Raw genomic sequence first — 25,091 nt, 5'->3', positions numbered from 1 at the left:
ATAACTGACTGTAAAAATATTAGAAAAGCAGTATATTGATAAAACATTCCTCAGAAAAAGGAACTTAAAGAACTTTGAGGAATTGCTTCTGTCCTAATATATGCATAGCTAAGGCTCTTATGATGGTGTGGTTTGTAGGTTAGATATCAGAGTGTAAACCCAATTTAAAAAATGTAGCCAAATGTATTAATCTTCTATTTTATGCCTCTGGGTTTTTTGTAATTCAGAGAAAGGCTTTTCCAATTCTGAAATTCTTAAAAATCCTCTAGTGATTTATTTTTCATGGTCTTTAGATAAATATTTCAACTTTTTGGAATTTACACTCTTCTAGATTTGAAGTTTTGTCCAACTTTTTTCCAGTTAAATATCCACTATGGGAATTATTTCATTATAGAAATATAAATGTCATTCTTTGATTTTAGAAGAAATCATGATATGTCATTCTATTGAGTGCTAACTAAAAGTTCCCTTTGTTTACTTAGCTTTCTCTTAGTCATAAGAAAGAAGAAGATCTCTTGCGTGAAAACAGCATGTTGCGGGAAGAAATTGCCATGCTAAGACTGGAACTAGATGAAACAAAACATCAGAACCAGCTAAGGGAAAATAAAATTTTGGAGGAAATTGAAAGTGTAAAAGAAAAACTTCTAAAGGCTATACAACTGAATGAAGAAGCATTAACGAAAACCAGTATTTAAGTACAGTGGACAGCTTAGGATTTTGACAACTGAGAATGCTCAGTTCTGAACTGGAGAATGTAAGACACAGCTAGGAAACACTGGAAATGGAAATTCAATCATGTCATTGTAGACTGACTACTGCTCTACATGATTGTGATCAAAGTCAGATAGCTGAAAGGGACTTCTTTCCAGAGAGCAAACATCAACAGGTTTATTTACAGGAGAAAATGAATTCTTATATATCTCACCTAAAAGATAACAGTGAGATTCTTTCTGAACAACTCTAACGCTGACAGTAAAATTAACAACCTAAAAATTAAGCTCCATCACACAGGATAAATTCTGAGAGAAAAGATGAGGCAGGCCACCATCTTTCCTGTTTGGGCAACTTAGTCATTCCAGCGTGCGGGCTTTGGAGAGTACAAACTCACCAGGGACAGAAGAGATCCTGTGGCATAGCACAGCTGCTTTACCAAATCATGGCCAGAATGCTTCTGTAAGCAGGCCCCTGATCCTGTTCCTCATCACTGGACAGGATCTCCCACCTGAGGCCTCCAGCTACACCCACCAGTGTTCCCTGGCCAATGGAGATTTGAAACCTTCCTGGGACAGAGTTCCCAGAGAGAGGGGTGGGCCATGATGGGCAGGTCTTCCTGGCCTGGGTCTCCAGCCAGCCCCCCACTTGAGCCTTCAAGCCAGTAGCAACTCAGCAACTCCCTGGACAGAGCTTCCAGGAGCAACAGAAATCCTCTCTGCCACTGCCTCTGCAGTGGAACTGCCCTTGCTACCCTCAGAATATCAAGGGAGCAAAGACCCTAAGTGCCATATTGACACCTCCAACAAGCTGCAGTTGACACAAGGAACAAGTCAGTCCACCTTCCACGGGTACAACACACTCCTTACTGCTCATCACCAGACAAGGAACCCTGGCTTGGGCCCACAGCACAGACCCTCCATCCTGGGGTGATTACATTAAGTAACTCCTAACTTACACCTCTCTGGGGTGTAGCCCCCAGGAGACAAGGAAAGTGGTGGAGCAGCAAGTCAGCTGATGTGGAGCCCGGAGGGCAGGGACATCTATGTCTCTAGGCTCCACTTGCTCTTATGAGACACTTTATCCCAGCACTTAAGGAGTGCTGAGGTCAGACCAGCCCCATCTCACGTGCAAGATTGCCCAGCACAGATCAGGTCTAAGAGTTCTCTTCCTAAAAAGGGGGACTTGCTTAAAAAAGAAGTCTGGCCGCGTTTGTGTAGAGCAGTTGTGCTGTGCTGAGGATTCACTTTTGAGAGAGTTCTCCTCTGAGACCTGATCTCTGCTGGGCAGTCTTGCACATGAGATGGGGCTGGTCTGACCTCAGCACCCCTTAGTCTGCTTGCCTCTCCCAGGACCCCAGCCAGGCCACACCTGCTTAGAGGGCACTTCTGGGTGCCCACACCATAGCTTCTGTACAAGCGGACCGTGGCTGATCAGTGGAGAGCTGCAGCAAGGTGACCTCTACAGCCACGTACCAGCCTACACATTACCTCTCCATACTGCAGCCCTTTATATGGAAACTTCCTACATCACTTAGCTGTGTGTGTTTACACAGGTGGGTTTTGTTGTACTTGCCCTAACAGCATATGGGAATGCAGCACACACCCCAACCCACACCAACTGCCACTGAAGATGAAGCCATGGTGGGCACAGAACCAAAAACCCCACCCCTGCTAGCATCTCACCCTTGAGGTAATGCTGTGCAGAGGAAAAGGGACCTTCTTATACCCTGAGTGACCACTGTTGCTTGGGGGGGATCAGAGAAGGCACCTTCACTGGCCAGCCACCCACCCCAAACCAGAACTACCTCCAGTGCAACAGCACACACAGTCAGCAGGGGCCCCCTGGCCCACACCCCAGCTGTTTTGCCTCCACCACTAGGTGAATGCCCACAGGGAGGCAGGGACTTTTGCATCTGCTAGCATTCTGCCACAGCTGCCGCACTTTGGTCCCCTCAGTGCGGTGGACTCCAAACCTCGAGGAGCCAGAGAACAAAGTTGTGGCCCAATACAAGTTCCCCAGAGTTAAAGCACACAGTCCAAGAATTGGGAGCTGCATGTTGGCCCCTTAAAATCCTCCAAAGACAAAACCTGTTGGCTGAATCCACCTTACACCACAATCAAATCCTCAAGGTCATCAGATATAATAAAGGAAAAATACCCTGTCCAAAGGTCAGCAGCCTCAAAGATTGAAGGTGGATAAGCCCATAAAGATGAGAAAAAGACTCTGTGCAAGAACACTGAAAACTCAAAAATTCAGCATGCTTTCTTTTCTCCAAATGACTGCATCAACTCTCCAGCAAGTGTTCAGAACTGGGCTGAGGCTGAGATGTCTGAAATGATACAAGCAGAGTTCAGGATATGGGTAGGAACAAAGTTCCCTGAGTGAAAGAAGTATGTTGTAATCCAATACAAGGAAGCTAAAAATCATTGTAAAACATTGCAGGAACTAACAGACAAAATAGCAAGTATAAAGAAGAAAATAACTGACCTGACAGAGCTGTAAATCACACTAGAAGAATTTTCATAATGCAGTCACATGGTGATTGTGTGTGATTGCATTATGAAAATTATTGTAGTATGTGTGGGCACATGAGAGTGCCCTGTAAGCAGATGTGGCCAGGCTGGGGTCCTGGGAGAGGCAAGCAGACTAGGGAGGGCTGAGGTCAGACCAGCTCCATCTCATGTGCAAGACCATCCAACAGAATAGACCAAGAAGAGGAAAGAATCCCAGAGCCTGGAAACTGGCTTTCTGAAATAAAACAGGCAAACAAGAATGGGGGAAAAAAGAATGAAAGGGAATGAAGAAAACATCCGAGAAATATGGGATTATATAAACGACTAAATCTATGACTGATTAATGTACCTGAAGGAGATGAGGAGAATGGAACCAACTTGGAAAACACATTTCAGAATATCATTCATGAGAATGTCCCCAACCTAGCCAGACAGGCCAACACTCAACTTCAGGAAATCCAGAGAACCTCAGTAAGATATGCCATGAGAAGATCATCCCCAAGACACATAATCATCAGATTCTCTGCGGTCAAAATAAAAGAAAAAGTGTTAAAGGCAGCTAGGGAGAAAGGCAACATCACCTGCAAAGGGAATTCCATCAGACTTAGCAGACCTCTCAACTGAAACTGTACAAGCCAGAAAAGATATTCAACATCTTAAAGAAAAGAAATTTCAACCCAGAATTTCATGTCCAGCAAAATTAAGCATCATAAGTGAAGGAGAAACAAGATCCTTTTCAGACAAGCAAATGCTGAGGGAATTCATTATCACCAGACCTACCTTACAAGAGCTCCTGAAGGAAGCACTAAATATGGAAAGAAAAGACCACCACCAGCCACTACAAAAACACACTGAAGTACACAGACAAGTGATGCTAAAAACCAACCACATACATAAGTCTGCAAAAAAGCCAGCTGACAGCATGACGACAGGATCAAATCCACACATACCATTACTAACCTTAAATGGAAATGGGCTAAATGCTCCAATTGAAAGACACAGGGGGCAAGCTGGATAAAGAACCAAGACCCATTGGAGTATGCCGTCTTCAAGAAACCCATCTCACATGCAGTGCCCTACATAGGCTCAAAATAAAGGAATGGAGAAAAATATTTCAAGGAAATGGAAAATAGAAAAAAGCAGGTGTTGCACTCCTAGTTTCTGACAAAGCAGACTATACCAATAAAGATTAAAAAAAAAAAAAAAGACAGAGGGCTGGGCGCGGTGGTTCACGCCTGTAATCCCAGCACTTTCGGAGGCTGAGACAGATGGATCACAAGGTCAGGAGATCGAGACCATCCTGGCTAACACGGTGAAACCCCGTCTCTACGAAAAATACAAAAAATTAGCTGGGCATGGTGGCGGGTGCCTGTAGTCCCAGCTACTTGGGAGGCTGAGGCAGGAGAATGGTGTGAACCTGGGAAGTGGAGCTTGCAGTGAGCCAAGATCGTGCCACTGCACTGCAGCCCAGGCGAGACAGTGAGACTCCGTCTCAAAAAAAAAAAAAAAAAAAAAAAAAAGAGAGAAGGAGATTACAAAGGTGGTCCTGACCTTTGATAAATCTCATTATTGCTTGATACCAACCTGGGCTATCTTTATTGCCCAAACCAATAGGATAATGTGCTGAGGTTAGGGAGCTTCTCCCCTGCAGAGAATCCCTGATCTCCCAAAATTTGGTTGAGATCTAAGGTTGATTTTGCTATACAACTCCTTTTCTGAAGTTTTACTTATTTCCAACAAGGCAAGTTTTCCTGCTTCCGTGATGATGGAGAGCAGGCACCTCCTTTCTTGAGTTTCAGCTTGCTTCTGACAGGGAAGGTGAGTGTAAGTTTTTTCCAGCTTCTAAGATGGCAGAGAACAATCACCAGCCTGAGACTTATTTCCAGGTAAGTAGCTGAATTAGAGTTTTGTCTTAAAATTTTTCCTTAATGACTAAAATTTAAGATTACTCACCAGCTGCTTTTAATTTCTCGTTACCATTAGAACACTCAGTAATCATATGAATTGTGCATTTGTTTGTTTTGCTTAACTCTTTTTGTTTGTTTATGTTTGGGGTTTTGTTGTTGTTGTTTCACTTTTCTCCCATCTCTTCCTGACTTGGTCAAATCCAAAGAATGCTCCAAATTGTGGGGAACAAGGCTTCTGAATTGGCTAAAACTCATGTGGCTGCAAAAAAAAAAAAAAAAAATTCCAGTTAGCAGAAATGATTTTTTTAACTTTTTTATTTTTATTTTTTGCATAAGTGGTTGCATCTTTTGCTAGCCAAGGCCAAACTGAGGGAGTAGTGGTGGCGACCCAAAGTTAAGATTCTGCCCTGTTCACTACAGAAACCTGAGTTTGGTTCCTAAGTCTAGTTCTTTCTGTTTGATATTTGTGTTACTTTTAAAATATCAGCAGTTTGTCCCAGCTATGATGTGGTAGTAAAAGATTCAGAAGTATTTTCTTTACAAGTTCTATGTTGAAAAGCTTAATTAAAAGCAAATTTATTTTTTTTTAATTATACTTTAAGTTCTGGGGTACATGTGCAGAACATGCAGGTTTGTTACATACGTATACACATGCTATGGTGGCTTGCTGCATGCACCAACCCATGATCTAATGCCATCCCTTTTCTAGCCCCCCACCCTGACAGGCCCTTGTGTGTGATGTTTCCCTTCCTGTGTCCATGTGTTCTCATTGTTCAGGTCCTACTTATGAGTGAGATCATGTGGTGTTTGGTTTTCTCTTCTTGTGTTAGTTTGCTGAGAATGACAGTTTCCAGCTTCATCCATGTCCCTGCAAAGGATATGAACTCATCCTTTTTTATGACTGCATAGTATTCCATGGTGTATATATGCCACATTTTCTTTATCCAGTCTATCATTGGTGGGCATTTGGGTTGGTTCCAAGTCTTTCCTGTTGTGAACACTGCCGCAATAAGCATACGTGTGCATGTGTCTTTATATTGGAATGATTTATATTTTTTTGAGTATATACACTGTAATGGGATTGCTGGGTCAAATGGTATTTCTAGTTGTAGATCATTGAGGAATCATCACACTGTCTTCCACGATGGTTGAACTGATTTATACTCCCACCAACAGTGTAAAAGCATTCCTATTTCTCCACATCCTCTCCAGCTTCTGTTGTTTCCTGATTTTTTAATGATGGCCATTCCAAGTGGCGTAAGATTGTATCTCATTATGGTTTTGAATTCCATTTCTCTAATGACCAGTGCTTTGCTTCACATGTTCATTGGCTGCATAAATGTCTCCTTTGGGAAGTGTCTGTTCATATCCTTTGCCCACTTTTTGATGGGGTTGTTTGTTTTTTTCTTGTAAATTTGTTTAAGTTTTTATAGATTCTGCATATTAGCCCTTTGTCAGATGGATAGATTGCAACAATTTTCTCCCTTTCTGAGGGTTGCCTGTTCACTCTGATGATAGTTTCTTTTGCTGTGCAGACACTCTTTAGTTTAATTAGATCCCATTTGTCAATTTTGGCTTTTGTTGCCATCGCTTTTGGTGTTCTAGTGATGAAGTCTTCGCCTATGCCTATGTCCTGAATGGTATTGCCTAACACAAGGACATTTCTGTGCCTGAATGCCATATCTCCCAAAGTAATTTATAGAATCAGTGCTATCTCCATGAAGCTACCATTGACTTTCTTCCCACAATTAGAAACACTACTTTAAATTTCATATGGAGCCAAAAAAGAGCTCGCGTAGCCAAGACAATCTAAGCAAAAACAATAAAGCTGGAGGCATCACGGTACCTGACTTCAAACTATTCTACAAGGCTACAGTAACCAAAACAGCATGGTACTGGTACCAAACCAGATATATAGACAAATGGAACAGAACAGAGGCCTCAGAAATGACACAACACATCTAAAACCATCTGATCTTTGACAAACCTGACAAAAACAAGCAATGGGGAAAGGATTCCTTATTCAATAAATGGTGTTAGGAAAACTGGCTAGCCATACGCAGAAAACTGAAACTGGGCCACTTCCTTACACTTTATACAAAAATTAACTTACGATGGATTGAAGAGTTAAACTTAAGACCTAAAACCATAGAAAACCTAGAAGAAAACCTAGGCCACCAAACTCAGGAGAAATGTACTTGTAGTGCAATGCATGGTACAAACACACATTCCCTGCTTCCTTAAGTGGGTGAGGTTGGTGGCTGGTCCACCTGCTCCAGGTGGATCCTTGCAGAGGTGGCTGGTTGCTCTTTGAGCCAGCTTGGCCTTGCCTGGCATTCACAAGCCTCAGTGCAACAACTGTGCTACAAATGGAGCCACACAGAAAATGACCAGCAGGCTCAGGAGCAGGGTGTACACTGCCTTTGGGGCTCCAGTCCATGCCTCAGGGCTCATAAGGCACCGTGGGCTTCTTGGTTGCCAAGAGGCAGATCACAGGCCATCTTGTGGAGGACTTTATGTTCAAGTGCAGAAAGCAGCCAGGATTACAACCTAGGGGACTCAGCCTTTTGTGACCCTGGCCAGACTTAGAATTTGGCCCCAGGCATGACACGCTCACTCAGAGTAGCGTGTCAGTACCTGGGGCCTGTGCATGCCAGGCAAAGCCAAGCTGGCTCAAAGAGCAACCAGCCACCTCTGCAAGGGTGTGCCTAGAGCAGTTGGACCAGCCACCAATCTCACCCCCTCAACAAAGCCGGGATGGCCAGGTTCCCACAGCCTGAGTGGCTGCCACCTGATGGCTGATGGAGCAGAGGCCTGAGGAAAAGCAGATGGCACTGGGGCCCTACCTTTAGGGTAGAATAACTGAGGTACCATGTCTGGCAGCAAGTGAGGTTGGTGGCTGGTCCACATGCTCCAGGTGCACCCTTGCAGAGGTGGCTGGTTGCTCTTTGAGCCAGCTTGGCCTTGCCCAGCATGCACAAGTCTCAGTGCAACAACTGTTCTACAAATGGAACCACACAGAGGACATTAGAGGCAGGCTCAGGAGCAGGGTGTACACTGCCTTTGGTGCTCCAGTCCATGGCTCAGGGCTCATATGTCACTGCGGGCTTCTTGGTTGCCAAGAGGCAGACCACAGGCTGTCTTGAGGAGGACTTTATGTTCGAGTATAGAAAGCAGCAGGATTACCACCCAGGGGACTTGGCGTTCTGTGGCCCTGACCAGACTTAGAATTTGGGCCAAGGCAGGACAAGCTCACTCACAGCAGCATGTCAGTAGCTGGAGACTATGCATGCCAGGCAAGGCCAAGCTGACTCAAATAGGAACCAGTCACCTCTGCAAGGGTGCACCTGGGACATGTGGAGCAGCCACCAACCTCAGCTACTCAAGGAAGTAGGGATGGCCAAGTTCCCACAGCCTGAATGGCTGCCTCCTGATGGCTGATGGAGCAAAGGCCTGAGGAAAAGCGGATGGCACTGGGGCCCTACCTCTAGGGTAGAAGAACTGATGTGCCCTGACCTGCAACAAGTGAGTTTGGTGGCTGCTCCACCGGCTCCTGGCACACGCTTGCAGAGGTGGCTGGTTGCTCTTTGAGCCAGCTTGGCCTTGCCTGGCATACACAAGCCTCAGTGCAACATCTGTGCTAGGTATGGAGTCACAGAGAGGAAATGAGCAGCAGGCTCAGGAGCAGGGTGTGTGCTGCCTTTGGGGCTCCAGTCCATGCCTCAGGGCTCGTGTGGCACTGCGGGCTTCTTCGTTGCAAAGAGGCAGACCACAGGCCATCCTGAGGAGGACTTGATATTCAAGTGCAGAAAGTAGGCAGGATTACCACCCAGGGGACTCTGCCCTGGACAGAGATAAAATTTGGGCCAAAGCAGAACAAGCTCACTCAGAGCAGCATGTCGGTAGCTGGGGCCTGTGTATGCCAGGCAAGGCCAAGCTGGCTCAAAGAGCAACCAGCCACCTCTGCAAGGGTGCACCTGGAGCAGGTGGAGCAGCCACCAACCTCACCCACTCAAGGAAGTAGGGATGGCCAGGTTCCCACAGCCTGCATGGCTGCATCCTGATGGCTGATGGAGCAGAGGCCTGAGGAAAAGCAGATGGCATTGGGGCTCTACCTCTTGGGTAGAAGAAGTGATGTACACCGACCAGCTGTGAGTGAGGTTGGTGGCTGGTCCACCTGCTCCTGGCACACCCTTGCAGAGGTGGCTGGTTTCTCTTTGCGCCAGCTTGGCCTTGCCCAGCATGCACAAGCCTCAGTGCAACAGCTGTGCTACAAATGGAGCCACACAGAGAAAACAGAGCAGCAGGCTCAGGAGCAGGGTGTGTGCTGCATTTGGGGCTCCAGTCAATGCCTCCGGGCTAGTATGGCTCTGTGGGCTTCTTGGTTGCAAAGAGGCAGACCACAGGCCATCTTGAGGAGGACTTTATGTTCAAGTGCAGAAAGCAGCCAGGATTACCACCCAGGGGACTCTGCCTTCTGTGGCCCTGACCGGACTTAGAATTTGGCCTAACTCAGGACAAGCACACTCAGAGCAGCGTGTCAGTAGCTGGAGCCTGTGCATGAAAGGCATGGCCAAGCTGTCTCAAAGAGCAACAAGCCACCTCTGCAAGGGTGCTCCAGGAGCAGGTGGAGCAGCCACCAACATCACCCACTCAAGGAAGCAGGGATGGCCAGATTCCAACAACCTGAGTGGCTGCCTCCTGATGGCTGATGGAGCAGAGGCCTGAGGAAAAGCAGATGGCACTGGGACCCTACATCTAGGGTAGAAGAAGTGATGTACCCTGACCGGCAGTGAGTGAGGTTGGTGGCTGGTCCATCTGCTCCTGGCACACCCTTGCAGAGGTGGCTGGTTACTCTTCGAGCCAGCTTGGCCTTGCCTGGCATGCACAAGCCTCAGTGCGACAACTGTGCTACATATGGAGCCACATAGAGGAAACGAGCAGCAGGCTCAGGAGCAGGGTGTGCGCTGCCTTTGGGGCTCCAGTCCATGCCTCAGGGCTCGTGTGGCACTGTGGGCTTCTTCGTTGCCAAGATGCAGACCACAGGCCATCTTGAGGAGGACTTTATGTTCAAATGCAGAAAGCAGCCAGTATTACCACCCAGGGGCTCTGCCTTCTGTGGCCCTGGCCAGACTTAGAATTTGGCCCCAGGCAGGGCAAGCTCACTCGGAGCAGTGTATCAGTAGCTGGGTCCTGTGCATGCCAGGCAAGGCCAAGGTGGCTCGAAGAGCAACCAGCCACCTCTGCAAGGGTGCACCTGGAGCAGGTGGAGCAGCCACCAACCTCACCCACTCAAGGAAGTAGGGATGGCCAGGTTCCCACAGCCTGCATGTCTGCGTCCTGATGGCTGATGGAGCAGAGGCCTGAGGAAAAGCAGATGGCACTGGGGCTCTACCTCTTGGGTAGAAGAAGTGATGTACACCGACCAGCTGTGAGCGAGGTTGGTGGCTGGTCCTCCTGCTCCTGGCACACCCTTGCAGAGGTGGCTGGTTTCTCTTTGCGCCAGCTTGGCCTTGCCCAGCATGCACAAGCCTCAGTACAACAACTGTGCTACAAATGGGGCCACACAGAGAAAACAGAGCAGCAGGCTCAGGAGCAGGGTGTGTGCTGCATTTGGGGCTCCAGTCAATGCCTCCGGGCTAGTATGGCTCTGTGGGCTTCTTGGTTGCAAAGAGGCAGACCACAGGCCATCTTGAGGAGGACTTTATGTTCAAGTGCAGAAAGCAGCCAGGATTACCACCCAGGGGACTCTGCCTTCTGTGGCCCTGACCGGACTTAGAATTTTGCCTAATGCAGGACAAGCTCACTCAGAGCAGCGTATCGGTAGCTGGAGCCTGTGCATGCCAGGCAAGGCCAAGCTGTCTCAAAGAGCAACCAGCCACCTCTGCAAGGGTGTGCCTGGAGCAGATGTAGCAGCCATCAAACTGACCCACACAAGGAAGCATGGATGGCCAGGTTCCAACAGTCTGAGTGGCTGCCACCTGGAGACTGATGGAGCAGAGGCCTGAGGAAAAGCAGATGGCACTGGGGCCCGACCTCTATGGGAGAAGAACTGATGTGCCCCAACCGGCAGCGAGTGAGTTTAGTGTCTGCTCCACCGGCTCCTGGCACACCCTTGCAGAGGTGGCTGGTTCCTCTTTGAGCCAGCTTGGCTTCGCTCGGCATGCACAAGCCTCAGTGCAACAACTGTGCTACAAATGGAGCCACAGAGAGGAAATGAGCAGCAGGATCAGGAGCACGGTGTGCACTGCCTTTGGGGCTCCAGTCCATGCCTCAGGGCTCATATGGCACTGCGGGCTTCTTCATTGCCAAGGGGCAGACCACAGGTCGTCTGGAGGAGGACTTTGTGTTCAAATGCAGAAAGCAGCCAGCATTACCACCCAGGGGACTCTGCCTTCTGTGGACCTGACCAGACTTAGAATTTGGGCCAAGGCAGGACAAGCTCACTCAGAGGAGCATGTCAGTAGCTGGGGCCTCTGCATGCCAGGCAAGGCCAAGCTGGCTCAAAGAGCAACCAGCCACCTTTGCAGGGGTGCACCGGGAGCAGGTAGAGCAGCCACCAACCTCTGCTACTCAAGGAAGCAAGGATAGGCAGGTTCCCACAGCCTGTGTGGCTGCCACCTGATGGCTGATGGAGCAGAGGCCTCAGAAAAAGCAGATGGCACTGGGGCCCTACCTCTAGGGTAGAAGAACTGATGTGCCATGTCTGGCAGGCAGTGAGTGAGGTTGGTGGCTGGTCTACCTGCTCCTGGCACACCCTTGCAGAAGTGGCTGGTTCCTCTTTGAGCCAGCTTGTCCTTGCCCAGCATGCACAAGCCTCAGTACAACAACTGTGCTACAAATGGAGCCACACAGAGGAAATGAGCAGCAGGCTCAGGAGCAGGGTGTTCACTGCCTTTGGGGCTCTAGTCCATGCCTCCGAGCTTATATGGCACTGCAGGCTTCTTGGTTGCCAAGAGGCAGACCACAGGCCGTCTTGAGGAGGACTTTATGTTCAAGTGCAGAAAAAAGTCAGGATTACCACCCAGGGGACTTGCCCTTCTGTGGCCCTGGCCAGACTTAGAATTTGGCCCCAGGCAGGACAAGCTCACTCAGAGCAGCTTGTCAGTAGCTGGGGCCTGTGCATGCCAGGCAAAGCCAAGCTGGCTCAAAGAGCAAGCAGCCACCTCTGCAAGCATGCTCCTGGTGCAGTTGGACCAGCCTTTAATCTCACCCACTCAAAGAAGCATGGATGGCCAGGTTCCAACAGCCTGAATGGCTGCCACCTGATGGCTGATGGAGCAGAGTCCTGAGGAAAAGCAGATGGCACTGCTTTGTAATGCCCTTTGTCTCTTTTGATCTTTTCCATTTAAAGTCTGTTTTATCGGAGACTAGGATTGCAACCCCTGCTTTTTTTTTTTTTTTTTTTTTTTTTTGCTTTTCATTTGCTTGGTAAATATTCCTCCGTCCCTTTATTTTGAGCCTGTGTGTGTCTTTGCATGTGAGATGGGTCTCCTGAATACAGCACACCAATGGGTCTTGAGTCTTTTTCCAACTTGCCAGTCTGTGTCTTTTTACTGGGGCATTTAGCCCAGTTACATTTAAGGTTAATATTGTTACATGTGAAATTTATCCTGTCATGATGTTGTTAGCTGTTTATTTTTCCCATTAGTTAATGCAGTTTCTTTATAGTGTCGATGGTCGTTACAATTTGGTATGTTTTCCCAGTGGCTCATACTGTTTGTCCCTTTCCATGTTTAGTGCTTCCTTCAGGAGCTCTTGTAAGGCAAGAATGTGGATTTATTTCTTGTAAGGCAAATATGTGGATTTATATCTGGGTGCTGTATTCTATGGCCTCTACCCCAAGAGTCATTACTTTTAAAAATGCAATTCAAATTAGCATAAAACATTTACAGCCTAGGGAAAGGCTTATGGCATTAGAATCCTTATTTATAGGATTATTTTGTGTTTTTTTGAGATATGGTCTCTGTCTGTCATCCAGGCAGAAGTGGAGTGGCTTGGTCATAATTCACTGCAGCCATGAACTCTGAGTCCAAGCCATCCTTGTGCCTTAGTCTCCCAACTAGTTGGATCTACAAGCATAAGTCACCATGCCTGGTTAATTTTAAATAAAATTTTTTGTCGAGATTATGTTATCACTATGTTGCTCTGGCTGGTTTCAAATTCCTGGCCTCAAGTAATCTTTCTGCCACAGCCTCCTATAGTGCTGGGATTACAGGCATGAGCCACCATGCCTAGCATAGAGTATTACATTATTTTCAAAGTCTTATTCTAAGAGCCATTTATTGACTTTGGCCTAAATAACTCAATATTATATCTCTGAAACTTTTTTTGACAAATTTTGGGGCACGATGATGAGAGAAAGGGGTTTGAAACTTTCTAATAAGAGTTAACATAGAGCCATTTAAGGAGGAAAAAACACAAATTATCAGAAAAGTAAAAGAAAGATCAAGTGCAAAAGTTCTGTGGCAAAGATGATAGTAAAGAATATATGTGACTTATGGTGGCTTTTACTTTGTTCTTGAATTTCTGAGTAATTTAAGGGTTAACATTTAAAGAATCTACATTATAGATAACATTTTATTGCAAGTAAATGTATTTCAAAATTTGTTACTGGTTTTGTATGAGATTATTCTCAGCCTACTTCATTTTCAAGTTATATTATTTTATTAATGTAGTTTGATGATCTTACAGCAGAGCTGGAAGCTGTATCTTCAAAATATGTCTGTTTGACTCAAAACAATCAAGGTATTCAACAGGAGTTATTATGTATGAAAAAATACAACAGGAATGTAAAAATCTTGAGGAGGCTAAAAAGATGTTGGAAAAAGTAATATTAAATCTTAAAAAACGTATGGAAAGTACACATTGGTGAAGACACATTGGTGAAGTACAAAAATATAAATTGGATCTAGAAGAAAGGGCAATGCAGGCAATGGAAAAATTAGTACAAATCCCTTTACAGGTTAGTTTGTAAAATCAGGTAAGTTTATTTATAATGTGCTTTCACTTATTTCACTGCAATGGCTCTCTTATAGTAATTTGCCTTGTAGAGTTCTAGCAAAGAGGTGGCATCTGTTTTTACTTTTATATGTTTAAATTTCTATCATTATAACAAAATCGATTTTTCACAGTAATGATTCTCAGTGTGGAGTCATTTGATTATTAAGACCCATTGACATGAGATTACATCCTCTGCCTATAAAAATCCTGGAAGAAAACCTAGGAAATATTCACCTGGACATTGCACTTGGCAATGAATTTATGGGTAAGTCCTCAAAAGCAATTGCCAGAAAAATAAAAATTGACAAGTATGATTTAATTAAACTAAAGAGCTTCTTCTGCACAGCATGAGAAACTCTCAAGGGATTGAACAGACAGCCTACCGAGTGGAAGAAAATATTCACACACTATGCATACAGCAAAGGCCTATTATCCAGAAGCCATAAGAGACTTAGGCAAATCAACGAGCAAAAAATAAATAACCCCATTAAAAAATGGGCAAAGAACGTGAACAGTTTTCAGAAGAACACATATGTGGCCAACAAACATATTAACACATGCATACCATCACTAATCATCAGAGAAATGCAAAACAAAACATCAGTGAAATACCATCTCACACCAGTTAGAATGACTTCTGTTAAAAAGGAAAAGTAATAAAAATATTTAAATATTTAATATTAAAATCATTTAGATTGAGATAAATTAACTTGTCATTATCATTAATTCTCAAAACATGGATATTTAAGAATAACCTTACTTCACATGTAATAACACAACAACTACCTTAAAAACTAAAAGCTGGGGCCTGGCACGGTGTCTCAAGTCTGTAATCCCAGCACTTTGGGAAGCTGAGGTGGGCCGATCATGAGGCCAGGAGTTTGAGACAAGCCTGGCCAACATGGTGAAACCCCGTCTCTACTAAAAATACAAAAATTAGCTGGGCATGGTGGTGGGCACCTGTAATCCCAGCTACTCAGGAGGCTGAGGCAGGAGAATCATTGGAACCTGGGAGGCGGAGGTGGTTGCAGTGAGCTGAGATCACACCATTGCACTGCAGCCTGGGCAACAGGGCGAGACTCCATCTCAAAAAAAATAAATAAAATTAAATGAATACAAACAAATAAATAAAAGCTGGAAGTTCTATGAAAACATTAATGCACATACCATTTTTTAAAAATGTTCATGGTTTCTCTAGAGATTTCAATACCTATTCTAGCTTATTACAGTAACCTATAATTTGTACTATACCAACTATGGTATAAAAACCTTAAAATGTATATTTCTGTTTCCTCTCTCCTTTATACTATTTATGTCATGCATTATAGTCTCAAATATTATGAATTCCATAATATAAAGTTACTCTTTTTTTAAAAAATTAGACAATCAATTATCTTTAGAGCAATGTAAAATAATTGGGTTATATATCTTTATATCTTCTCTGGCATTATTTATTTCTTTGTGTAGTTTCAACTTTCACCTGCTTCCATATTCCTTTTGCCTCAAGAAATGATTTTGACATTTATTTTAGTGCATACCTGTTAGCAAGGGACTCTTCCAGTGTTAATCTGCAAATGTCATTTAATTGTTATTTTTGCTGTATTACAGTTAATGGATATAAGATTGGGGGTTGACTTTTCTTCAGTTATTTAAGAATTTTGTATCATTGGTTTCTGACTTGTAGAGTTACTGACAAGCAGTTCATTACAATGTTTGTTTCTGTTTATCTCTCTACACAGTGTTCTTATTTTTTCTGTGACTGAATTCAAGATTTATGCTAATCGTTGGTTTTCAGCAGTTTCACTAGTGTGATTATTCTAGCGTTCTTTAAATTTTGTATTAATCTTTCTTGTATATTTTGAGGTTATTTGGTCTCCTCAGTCATCTTTTTCAAATTTTTCTTCTCTCACATTCTGTTTTTACTCTCCTTCTGTAATTCCAATTAATTGTATTTTGGTTAATTTCATATTACCAGAAAATTCTTTGATTCACTGGAGTATTTTATTTGCTTGGTTCATTGGTTTATTTGGTTTTTCTCTTTCCTCCCTTTGTGCTACCATTCAAATGATTTGTATTGACCTAGTATAAAATTTACTGCTTCTTTCTTTAACTCTGATGACCAGTCTGCTAATCAGCTTGCTGATGTAATACTTCATCTCTGTTCTCATGCTTTCACTTATTTCTAGATTTTGCCTTTTACTGTTCCCATCTTTGCTGAAATTCCTCATTTTTCCATACATGTTGTCTTTTTTTAACTAGATCCTTTAACATTTTGATCATTATTATTTTAAATTACTTTCATTTAGTTCCAACATCTGAATTATCTCTGAATTTGATTCTGTTGACTTTTTATCCTTTGAAAATATTATAACTCATAACTCAAATTTCTAACTTGCTTTTATGTGTCTCCCAATTTCTAAAAAATGCAAATCATCTGATGTAGAAAAACAGTAGATCATGAGATAATTATTTATGTCGAGATTGTTTTATATTTCTGTTTCATTTTTGTTTGTGTCGTGCTATTAGTGTGGGCAGGAACAAAGGTTGCTTTTTGCTGCGGTGTCTGAAACATTCAGTGAACAATGTAACTCAGATTTCTCCAGCAGTAGACTGCTATATGATGTGCCTTGTGTGGGGCCTTAGACTCTGGAGAGCATATGCCAATGATCCTGTTCCACAGTTAGCTTTCGGTAGTCCTTACAACCTATGTTATAGAGAGGGTCTCTCTCCACTTTCTTGTTCTTCTCTAACTGTAGAACATCATTTTGTGTGTGTGTGTGTGTGACTAGGCAAAAAATTCAGGTTGGGGACAGAGGGATGGTTTGTGTTGTTTTTGAGCCAGTTTCATCATTGGACACTCAGAGATGGGGTATTTTTAACACTTCTTGACTCTTTTTCTAGTGGGAGTCAAACTGTCACTTACCTGTGTTGTTTTTTGCAGAAGAAATAATACCTTACCCTCCTCCCACCTCAGTAGTAGAAAACCCCTGATTTATATCATTGCAAGTTTTCAACCCCACAATAAGGGCAAACTCTTTTATTTCTCCTTCCATAGGAACAATGTACCTTTGTCTGTGGTCACTGGATGGAGACTTTCCAAACCTTTACCACAGTAGCACGACTCTGCATTAGTGCAAAATCCTGGGCCCCAAAACAATCCTTGTTCCTCTCCTGATGGAGGAGTATTTTTCTTGCATCCCTCTCCCAGAAGCAGTGATCCTTTGCCTGGTGTCAGGTGGGGTAGGGTAGGGTATGAGAGGTTTCTTAACCTTCTCTGGAAGCTGATGTGTTTTGCTTCTTCTTATCTCCCAGAAACAGTAGACTTTTGCATGGGTTCATGGACCCAGATGCTTTTTTGCCACAGCAAATTAAGGGTTTTGATTCTTAGGAGAGAAGCAAATGTTCACGTAGTCAATTTTTTTCTTATTTATTTTTTGCTTTGTTTTCTTATTTCAGTAATGATGAGTTCAATATGATCATTATTTTCCACTTACACTGCTTGCAACTCTAATATTTTGTTTTTGTTAGTCCCCCTTTGACAGTTCAGCACTAAATCAAATGCAGATAATCATCAGTTGTGTGAATAAAGTGTTTTTAATTGAGAACAAAATTATTGATATAGACACAAATTTGGATATTATCCTACTTAGCACAATATGTCGCTGGTTCAAAATGTAAAAACCTCTTTAGGCTGAGCAAATAATGGTTCTTGGAACTATTGTCCCATTTTGACAAATAAAACCCAATGCTTTTTATCTCATGGATAGATTATTAAAATAACTACATACCTGATCTTCATTTTATGTTCTCTCTCTTCAAGATATTCCTTCAAAACCACTTTGACTGATTAGTCTCTTTTGAATTATGTTAGACTCTGTATTTTCTCCACAAGCTCATCAGTGTAAATCCTGCCTTTACATTTTTTATAAAAATTCTCTTTTTTTTTCAAATCTTAGTTGAGCTGAAAGATTTCCACCAAATGTCTCCTATGCCACAAAGCCTTATTTTACTTATCTCCCCTGTCCTCCTTGCTCAAGCTCATTTAGGAATATTTTAATTAAAACATTCATGCAATACTGTTTTTTAAAAAATCTGAACATATAGTATTTTCAATCTGAATACAAAATAGTGCTCTAATTTGAAAACAAGTTTTAGAAACAAATGTTTCTAGAAGGAGAATCAACAGTGTCATAAATATCATAATCCAATTTTCCTGTTTGTACTAAAACATTAGCAAATATTTATTGAGGAATTGCCATCTGCCTGAAAGTATAATGCTTTTGATGCACATTATATCATAAAAACTAGGTACTATTATTAGTAGTATCTTAAGAGTATAAATATCGAGTCTTAGAGATGTTAAGCAACGTGCCCAAATAGCATGGGGAAAGTTGGAATTCTGAAATTCTGACTATGCTGTGCGTAGGATAGGAGAATCAAGGCTTGTCAAATGTAACTGTTAAGTCATTGTGGGGATACGGAGGCCTCTGATTGCTAGGGTCAATACACTTAAGCAGATCATGTCACTACTTAGTTAAATCTATTTCATTAAAGCAAAATTCCATAAAGATTATTGCCACCAAAACTATTAATTTTCCTTCCTTCCTTTCTCTCTTTATCTTTCTTTCTTTCTTTCTTTTCTTTCTTTCTTTCTTTCTTTCTTTTCTTTCTTGTCTTTCTTGTCTTTCTTGTCTTTCTTGTCTTTCTTTCTGTCTTTCTTTGAGACAGGGTCTCAGTCTGTTGCCCAAGCTGGAGTGCAGTGGCACAATCATGGCTCACTGCAGCCCCAGCTTCCCCAGGCTCCGGTGATCCTCCCACCTCATCCTCCTGAGTAGCTGGGACTACAGGCAGGCAATCCACTACGCCTGGCTAAAATTTTTTTTTTTTTTTGGTAAAGATTGGGTTTCACCATGTTGCCGAGCCTGGTCTGCAACTACTCAGCTCAAGCAATCCACCTGCCTTTGCCTCCCAAAGTATTGGGATTCCAGATGTAAGCCACATGCCTGGCCAAAAATATTATTTAACAAGTTCAATTTAACTATTAGATTTTGGACAATGAGGGATAGAATTTTCTACATCATAAATCATCTTGTGTTCTTTATTTAAAGTAATATGTAAGGATTTCAATTCAATTCAAATATATTTATTAGGAAATTAAATGTCTTTTTCAGGATTCCAAACTTTTGTTGAAGACATAAATGTTAAATGATGTCACTAATTTTAATTAGATTAACAGAAAGGTATTCTGGTGTTTAATAACAGTGACAGAATGGGCTATTAATTTTATTTTCTTTCCCTTTCTCCCTTTCCCCTTTTTAAAATATTTTACTTTTTAGGCTGTTTGGAATCCTGTAGATAGAGTTTTGGAGAATTAGACAAAACACTCACAGAAACTGCCAACCCTTGGATGAAATATATTGTTACTGTGCTTTGGGATTAAAATAAGTAACTACAGTTTATAGAACTTTTATACTGATACACAGACACTAAAAAGGGAAAGGGTTTGGATGAGAAGCTCTGCTCTGCAACCAGGAATCTCAGCCACTCATTTCTGTTGGAGCTGCAGGAGCTCCCTGTAAAGAGAGATTATGGAGTCTGTAGCTTCAGGAAAGATACTTAAAACCCTTCAGAGTTTCTCCATTTTTCCCAGAGTTTCCCCAAAAAGGTTATGACATTTTATAAGAATGCTTCACTTGTGAAAAACTAATACCAAGTCTTCTTGTAATTTATATTTAAGGATAAATCTTTATTCCATGTTTAATTTATTTCACTTATCCTGTAACTAATATTTCATGCTGAACACATTTTAAATGCTGTAAATGTAGATAATATAATTTATGGATCATTAATGCCTCTTTAGTAGTTTAATGTCAAAAGAAATGACCCCAGAATAAGCTTCTTGATTTGTAAAATTCTATGTCATTGACTCAAGTTTGTATGGCATCTCAAAATATAAATATAGACATCTCAGATAATATATTTGAAATAGCAAATTCCTGTTAGAAAAGAATAGTACTTAACTAGATAAGAATAACAGGTCACCATTGTTTGAATTGTCTCCTATTAATTTTTGTTCTGTTGTGTTACTCATGTTTTACTTATGGGGGATATACATAACTTCTGCTGTTTTCAGAATTATTGTATGCAGTCAGTATGAGAATGCAATTTTAGTTTCCTTGATGCTTTCTCACACCTCTATTACTAGAAATAAGAATACAGTAATATTGGCAAAGAAAATTGACCAGTTCAATAAATTTTTTTAGTAAATCTGATTGAAAATAAACATTTCTTACGGCTTTCTTACATCAATATTGTTATGTCTTAGACTACCGTATCTGAAATTAAGGCTTTGAAATTCTAATTATGTGCAAATGTGTAAAATATCATCACCTAACGCTATATAATATATTCTATTTCTATACTGTGATGGCAGGTTTATAATTCTGGAAAGATATACACAACATAAAATTTACCTTTTTAATCACTTTAAGTGCACAGTTTTGTGGCATTAAGTATATTTGCACTATTGTGCAACAGTCACCACCATAGACCTCCAAAACTTGTCTTCTTCTCCAACTAAAATGCTTTACTCATTGAACACCAACTTCCCATTCCTCTCCCTCTCCTTCCCCCTAGCAATCACCATTCTACTTTCTGTCTCTACAAATTTCACTAAGTAACTCATAGAAGTGGCATGATAGAATGTTTGAATTTTTCTGACTGGCTTATTTCACTTAGCATGTCTTCAAGTTTCATCTATTTTGTAGCATGTGTGAGAATATATTTTAAGGCTGAATATTATTATGTTGCCGTATATACCACATTTTGTTTAACCACTCATCCATCAATATTCACATGGGCTGCTCCCTCCCTTTGATTATTGTGAATAATATTGCTAACGGACACGCTGCACAAACATCTTTTTGGTCCCTCCGCTCATTTATTTTGGATATGGATTTGCATTTTAATACAAAGGAGAAATTACACAGCTTTTTAAAAGTGTCCAAATAAAAAGGAGCACAACATCAGTAAAATATTAGAAAGTAGATTGGGGGGAAAACAGGGAAGGAATTGAACCAAAAGTCAATAAGCTGCATAAGAGAGTTGCAAGAGGAGGAAAAAATTGACAATATTAACATAGAATTAAAGAGCGATAGGTCGATATTTAGAAAATTGTCGCATGTACTCATATGTCGCCTGTGAACTGACATTTACATTATTTTATTATTCCAGGTTTCCAAAAGTAAGTGCAATATGAGAGTTTCATGATGCTAAGTAAACTGAAACATGCTATATATTTTGATATATTGTCCTTGAGAGGAGGCTGAGTGGTAATTAGTGCAATTTTAAATTATGATATGATAATGCAGTCAATCTGCCAAACTGAAAAAAAGTATATATACAATATGTATACATTTCTCGCAAAATTCAGTTTTATCATACAATTAAATTATGATTTAAAACTACCTGACAATTAATGGAGGAAAAAATAAAACAACATTTGCATTAATATTACCATAATTTTGATATTATTGTAAATATCAAAATATGTAGTACTTAGAGATAAACCAGCAAAAAAGAGAAACATTTGAAAACTACAAAACTACAAAATATTGCTAAAATAAACGAGACCTAAATAAATGGAATTTATGAGTCATAAATCTCAATATTGTTAAGATGTCTACTCTTTCCACATTGATCTATAACAATTCCAATCAAATCACAGCTGGATTTCTTATTTTAGAAATTGAGAAACTAAAATTCTGAAATGTACATCGATGGGTAGAGGACCTATAATGGCAAATTACTTTGAAAGGAAACAGTTACTTTGAAACCAGGTGCTGCTGGAGAATTAACAGCACCTGGATTCAAGACTTATAACATTACAGTAATACTTAAGACAATGTAGTACAAATATAGATATACACATGTATATCATCTATCAGCTAATTTTTGATAAAGTTCTTAGACCATTCATGGACATAACATTTTCAACAAATGCTTCTGAAACAATTAGATATCCCAGTATATATTTGTGTGTGTGTGTGTGTGAAGCTCAATACTTCACACCTGAGAGGTATGAGTGTGCATTACAAAAGAGAACTGGGAAGCTTTGAGAGTATTGGATATGCTCATTGTCCCCTTCATGGTGATTAATGGGCACATGTACATATCAAATTCATCTCATTTACACTTTAAATATTGGAAGTGTGTTTTATGTTCGTTAGACATGAATAAAGCTGCAAAATGTTATCAAAATATTCACTTACTATGCTTTTATTCATTTTCATCTCTCTATAAACTTTCAGATAGAAAATGCAGTTGAAAGATATTTCATAAAGGAAGAAAAAGTAAGAATACAGGTGAGAGATATTACTGAGATTTTCTTTCAGTGCAATTCTGGTCTTTTCTGACTAGCAATATTTTTATGTGCAGAAGTAGTAGAAAAGATAAATATTTTGTACAGTAGAAAAACGCATCATTTCTGTGCCATGGAAGAGAGAACTCACAAAGATGACAGCTTCTGGCTATGTTGGATACTAACCAGTACTGTAAGTACCCAGCGATCTGACGTTAACATTGGCTGTAAAGCTCCTTTAATGTTCCTTGCAATGATTTGAACCTGTTACTGGAACCCTCATCGCTTATTGAGTTGAAAAACATTGTTGATATGTGTTTATCTTATATTTGCAGTAGAGTCATAATTTTACTTCTTAGAAAATTATACATTAAACAAAAAAGACACATGAAATTGTATATTGTTTAATGTTTCAACTGTGATAATCACTCCATATGCATATTTAAATTCCTATTTGATAAAGGATAGGAAATACAGAAAGAATTCTTGTGATAATAGAGAACACAGAACTGTTGAAAGGTGTTGAAGCTGAGCTGGAGAGAGTCACCAAGGCTGGCGCCAAAGCTGGCAAGGTCGGAGGGTTTCCTGCCTGGGTGGCACAGCTTGAGCTCGCCCTGCATCACGAGTGGTGGAAACTGCAGACCCAGCTGGGCCCGGAGGCCTCTGCCTCAGCCTCCCGCCCACTAGGAGCTGCGCTGAGGTCCCAGATAGGCGACCCTGGCGGGGCGCCCCTGAGCGAAGGGGGGACAGCAGCAGGAGACCAGGGTCCAGGGACCCACCTCCCACCGAGGGAACCTCGAGCCTCCCCTGGCACCCCTAGCTTGGTCCGCCTGGCCTCCGGAGCCCGGTGTGCATCCTGGTCATGGGGACACCCACCAGGTGCCCGGGAGTCCCCCTCCGCCACAGCCTGCGGCTCCGCCGGCCCTCAAGCCTGGTGCGGGGACTCCAGCCCCGTCGCCTCTGCTCCTGCCAGGCCGGGACCTGTCCTCCTCCTGGGCGCCCGGCAGTAGGGGCGATGCACACTGCCCGCTGCCCTGCACAGCCTTTCGCCGCACATCACCTCTGGCCCCTCCGCCCCGGGCCAGGACCTTCCTGGCCACACAGAACCCCCCTTCCTTCCCGCTGCAGAGCTGCTGCGCTTCCCCCACCCACAGGGAAAAACGGCCGATCTCCAACCAAACAGAAATCTGTGTGTGACTCCTCTGGTTGGATACTGCCAGTCCCCACATTTTCTTCCGGGAGTTTTCTTGGCAGAAGGTGCCCAATGTTTGATGTTTCGCCAGCCATGAGGCTGAAAAGTGACAGCAATAGAGAAACACATCAGGCTTTCCGCGACAAAGATGACCTTCCCTTCTTCAAAACTCAGCAATCTCCACGGCACACAAAGGACTTAGGACAAGATGACCGAGCTGGAGTGCTCGCCCCAAAATGCAGGCCCGGAGTGGGTCACCTCCTTAGGGCAGGCCCAGGCTTGTCCTGGCTGCCCGGGCACCTTTCTCCTCACTCCCACCCAATGCAGGGGACCCCAAAACTCGGCTGTTGGGGCTCCCTGCGCCTCCCTCCACAGAAGCCACCTCCTGCCCTCCAAGCTGGGGGTCTCCTGGGGCGTCCTGGGCTGAGAGGGAAAGACGCCAGCTCCGCAAGCCGGGAAGGGAACACCGCCACATTGTTACACGCACACACCACCACACTGTCACATGTACAGACACACGGAGACATTACCACACGGAGACACCGTCACATGGACACACTGGCACATTCACATGGACGGACACACAGACATACGGAGAAATCCACACGGACACACCACCACACTATCACAGGGACACACAGACACACGGAGACGTCACCACATGGACACACCACCACACTATCACAGGGACACACACAAGAGACATCACTACACTGTCACATGGACACACCATCACACTCACACGAACACAAAAACACACTGCCACATGGACACTGCCACACACACACACACCGCCTCACTGTCACATGGACACACCTCCACACTGTCAGACACCACCACACAGACACTGCCATGTGGAAACAAGGACACACAGACACTGTCACACGGATACACAAACACACTGTCACACGGAGACATCACCATGCAGATACATGAACACACCACCACATGGACATAGCACCACACAGACACTCTGCCACACGGACACACCACCACACAGAAATGCGGACACACCACCACACAGACACACCACCACGCTGCCACACAGAGACACCACCACATCGTTGCCACACTTTCATGTGTCAGCTGGCGGTGTGGGCCCCATGACTCTGGGCTCTAATAGAGAAATTACTTAGGCATATAGTGAAGGCAAAATAATTTTTTTTTTCCTGAGGCGTAGTCTCGCTCTGTCCCCCAGGCTGGACTGCAGTGGTGCAATCTCGGCTCACTGTAAGCTCCGCCTCCCGGGTTCACGCCACTCTCCCGCCTCAGCCTCCCGAGTAGCTGGGACTACAGGAGCCCGCCACCAAGCCCGGCCACCTTTTGGGTGTTTTTAATACAGACGGGGTTTCACCTTGCTAGCCAGGATGGTCTCGATCTCCTGACCTCGTGATCTGCCCGCC

General features: G+C 43.0%; 1 protein-coding gene and 1 pseudogene across 1 annotated transcript in view; both read left to right on the top strand.

Annotated features, from left to right (window-relative positions):
• The window catches only part of LOC102723502 (POTE ankyrin domain family member B-like), a 34,751-nt gene extending 30,474 nt beyond the window's left edge, over positions 1-4,277 (top strand). The window contains exon 11 of the mRNA NM_001395469.1: positions 483-4,277. Coding sequence (NP_001382398.1) covers positions 483-695 — 213 coding nt within the window. The 3' untranslated portion in view covers positions 696-4,277. The remainder of the gene's footprint in view (positions 1-482) is intronic.
• A 578-nt stretch (positions 4,278-4,855) lies between these two features.
• The window catches only part of LOC102723478 (coxsackievirus and adenovirus receptor-like), a 32,178-nt pseudogene continuing 11,942 nt past the window's right edge, over positions 4,856-25,091 (top strand).

This window comes from Homo sapiens, assembly GCF_000001405.40.
Source record: "Homo sapiens chromosome 15 unlocalized genomic scaffold, GRCh38.p14 Primary Assembly HSCHR15_RANDOM_CTG1".
NCBI lineage: Eukaryota > Metazoa > Chordata > Mammalia > Primates > Hominidae > Homo > Homo sapiens.
This window is presented reverse-complemented; position numbering and strand designations above follow the sequence as displayed.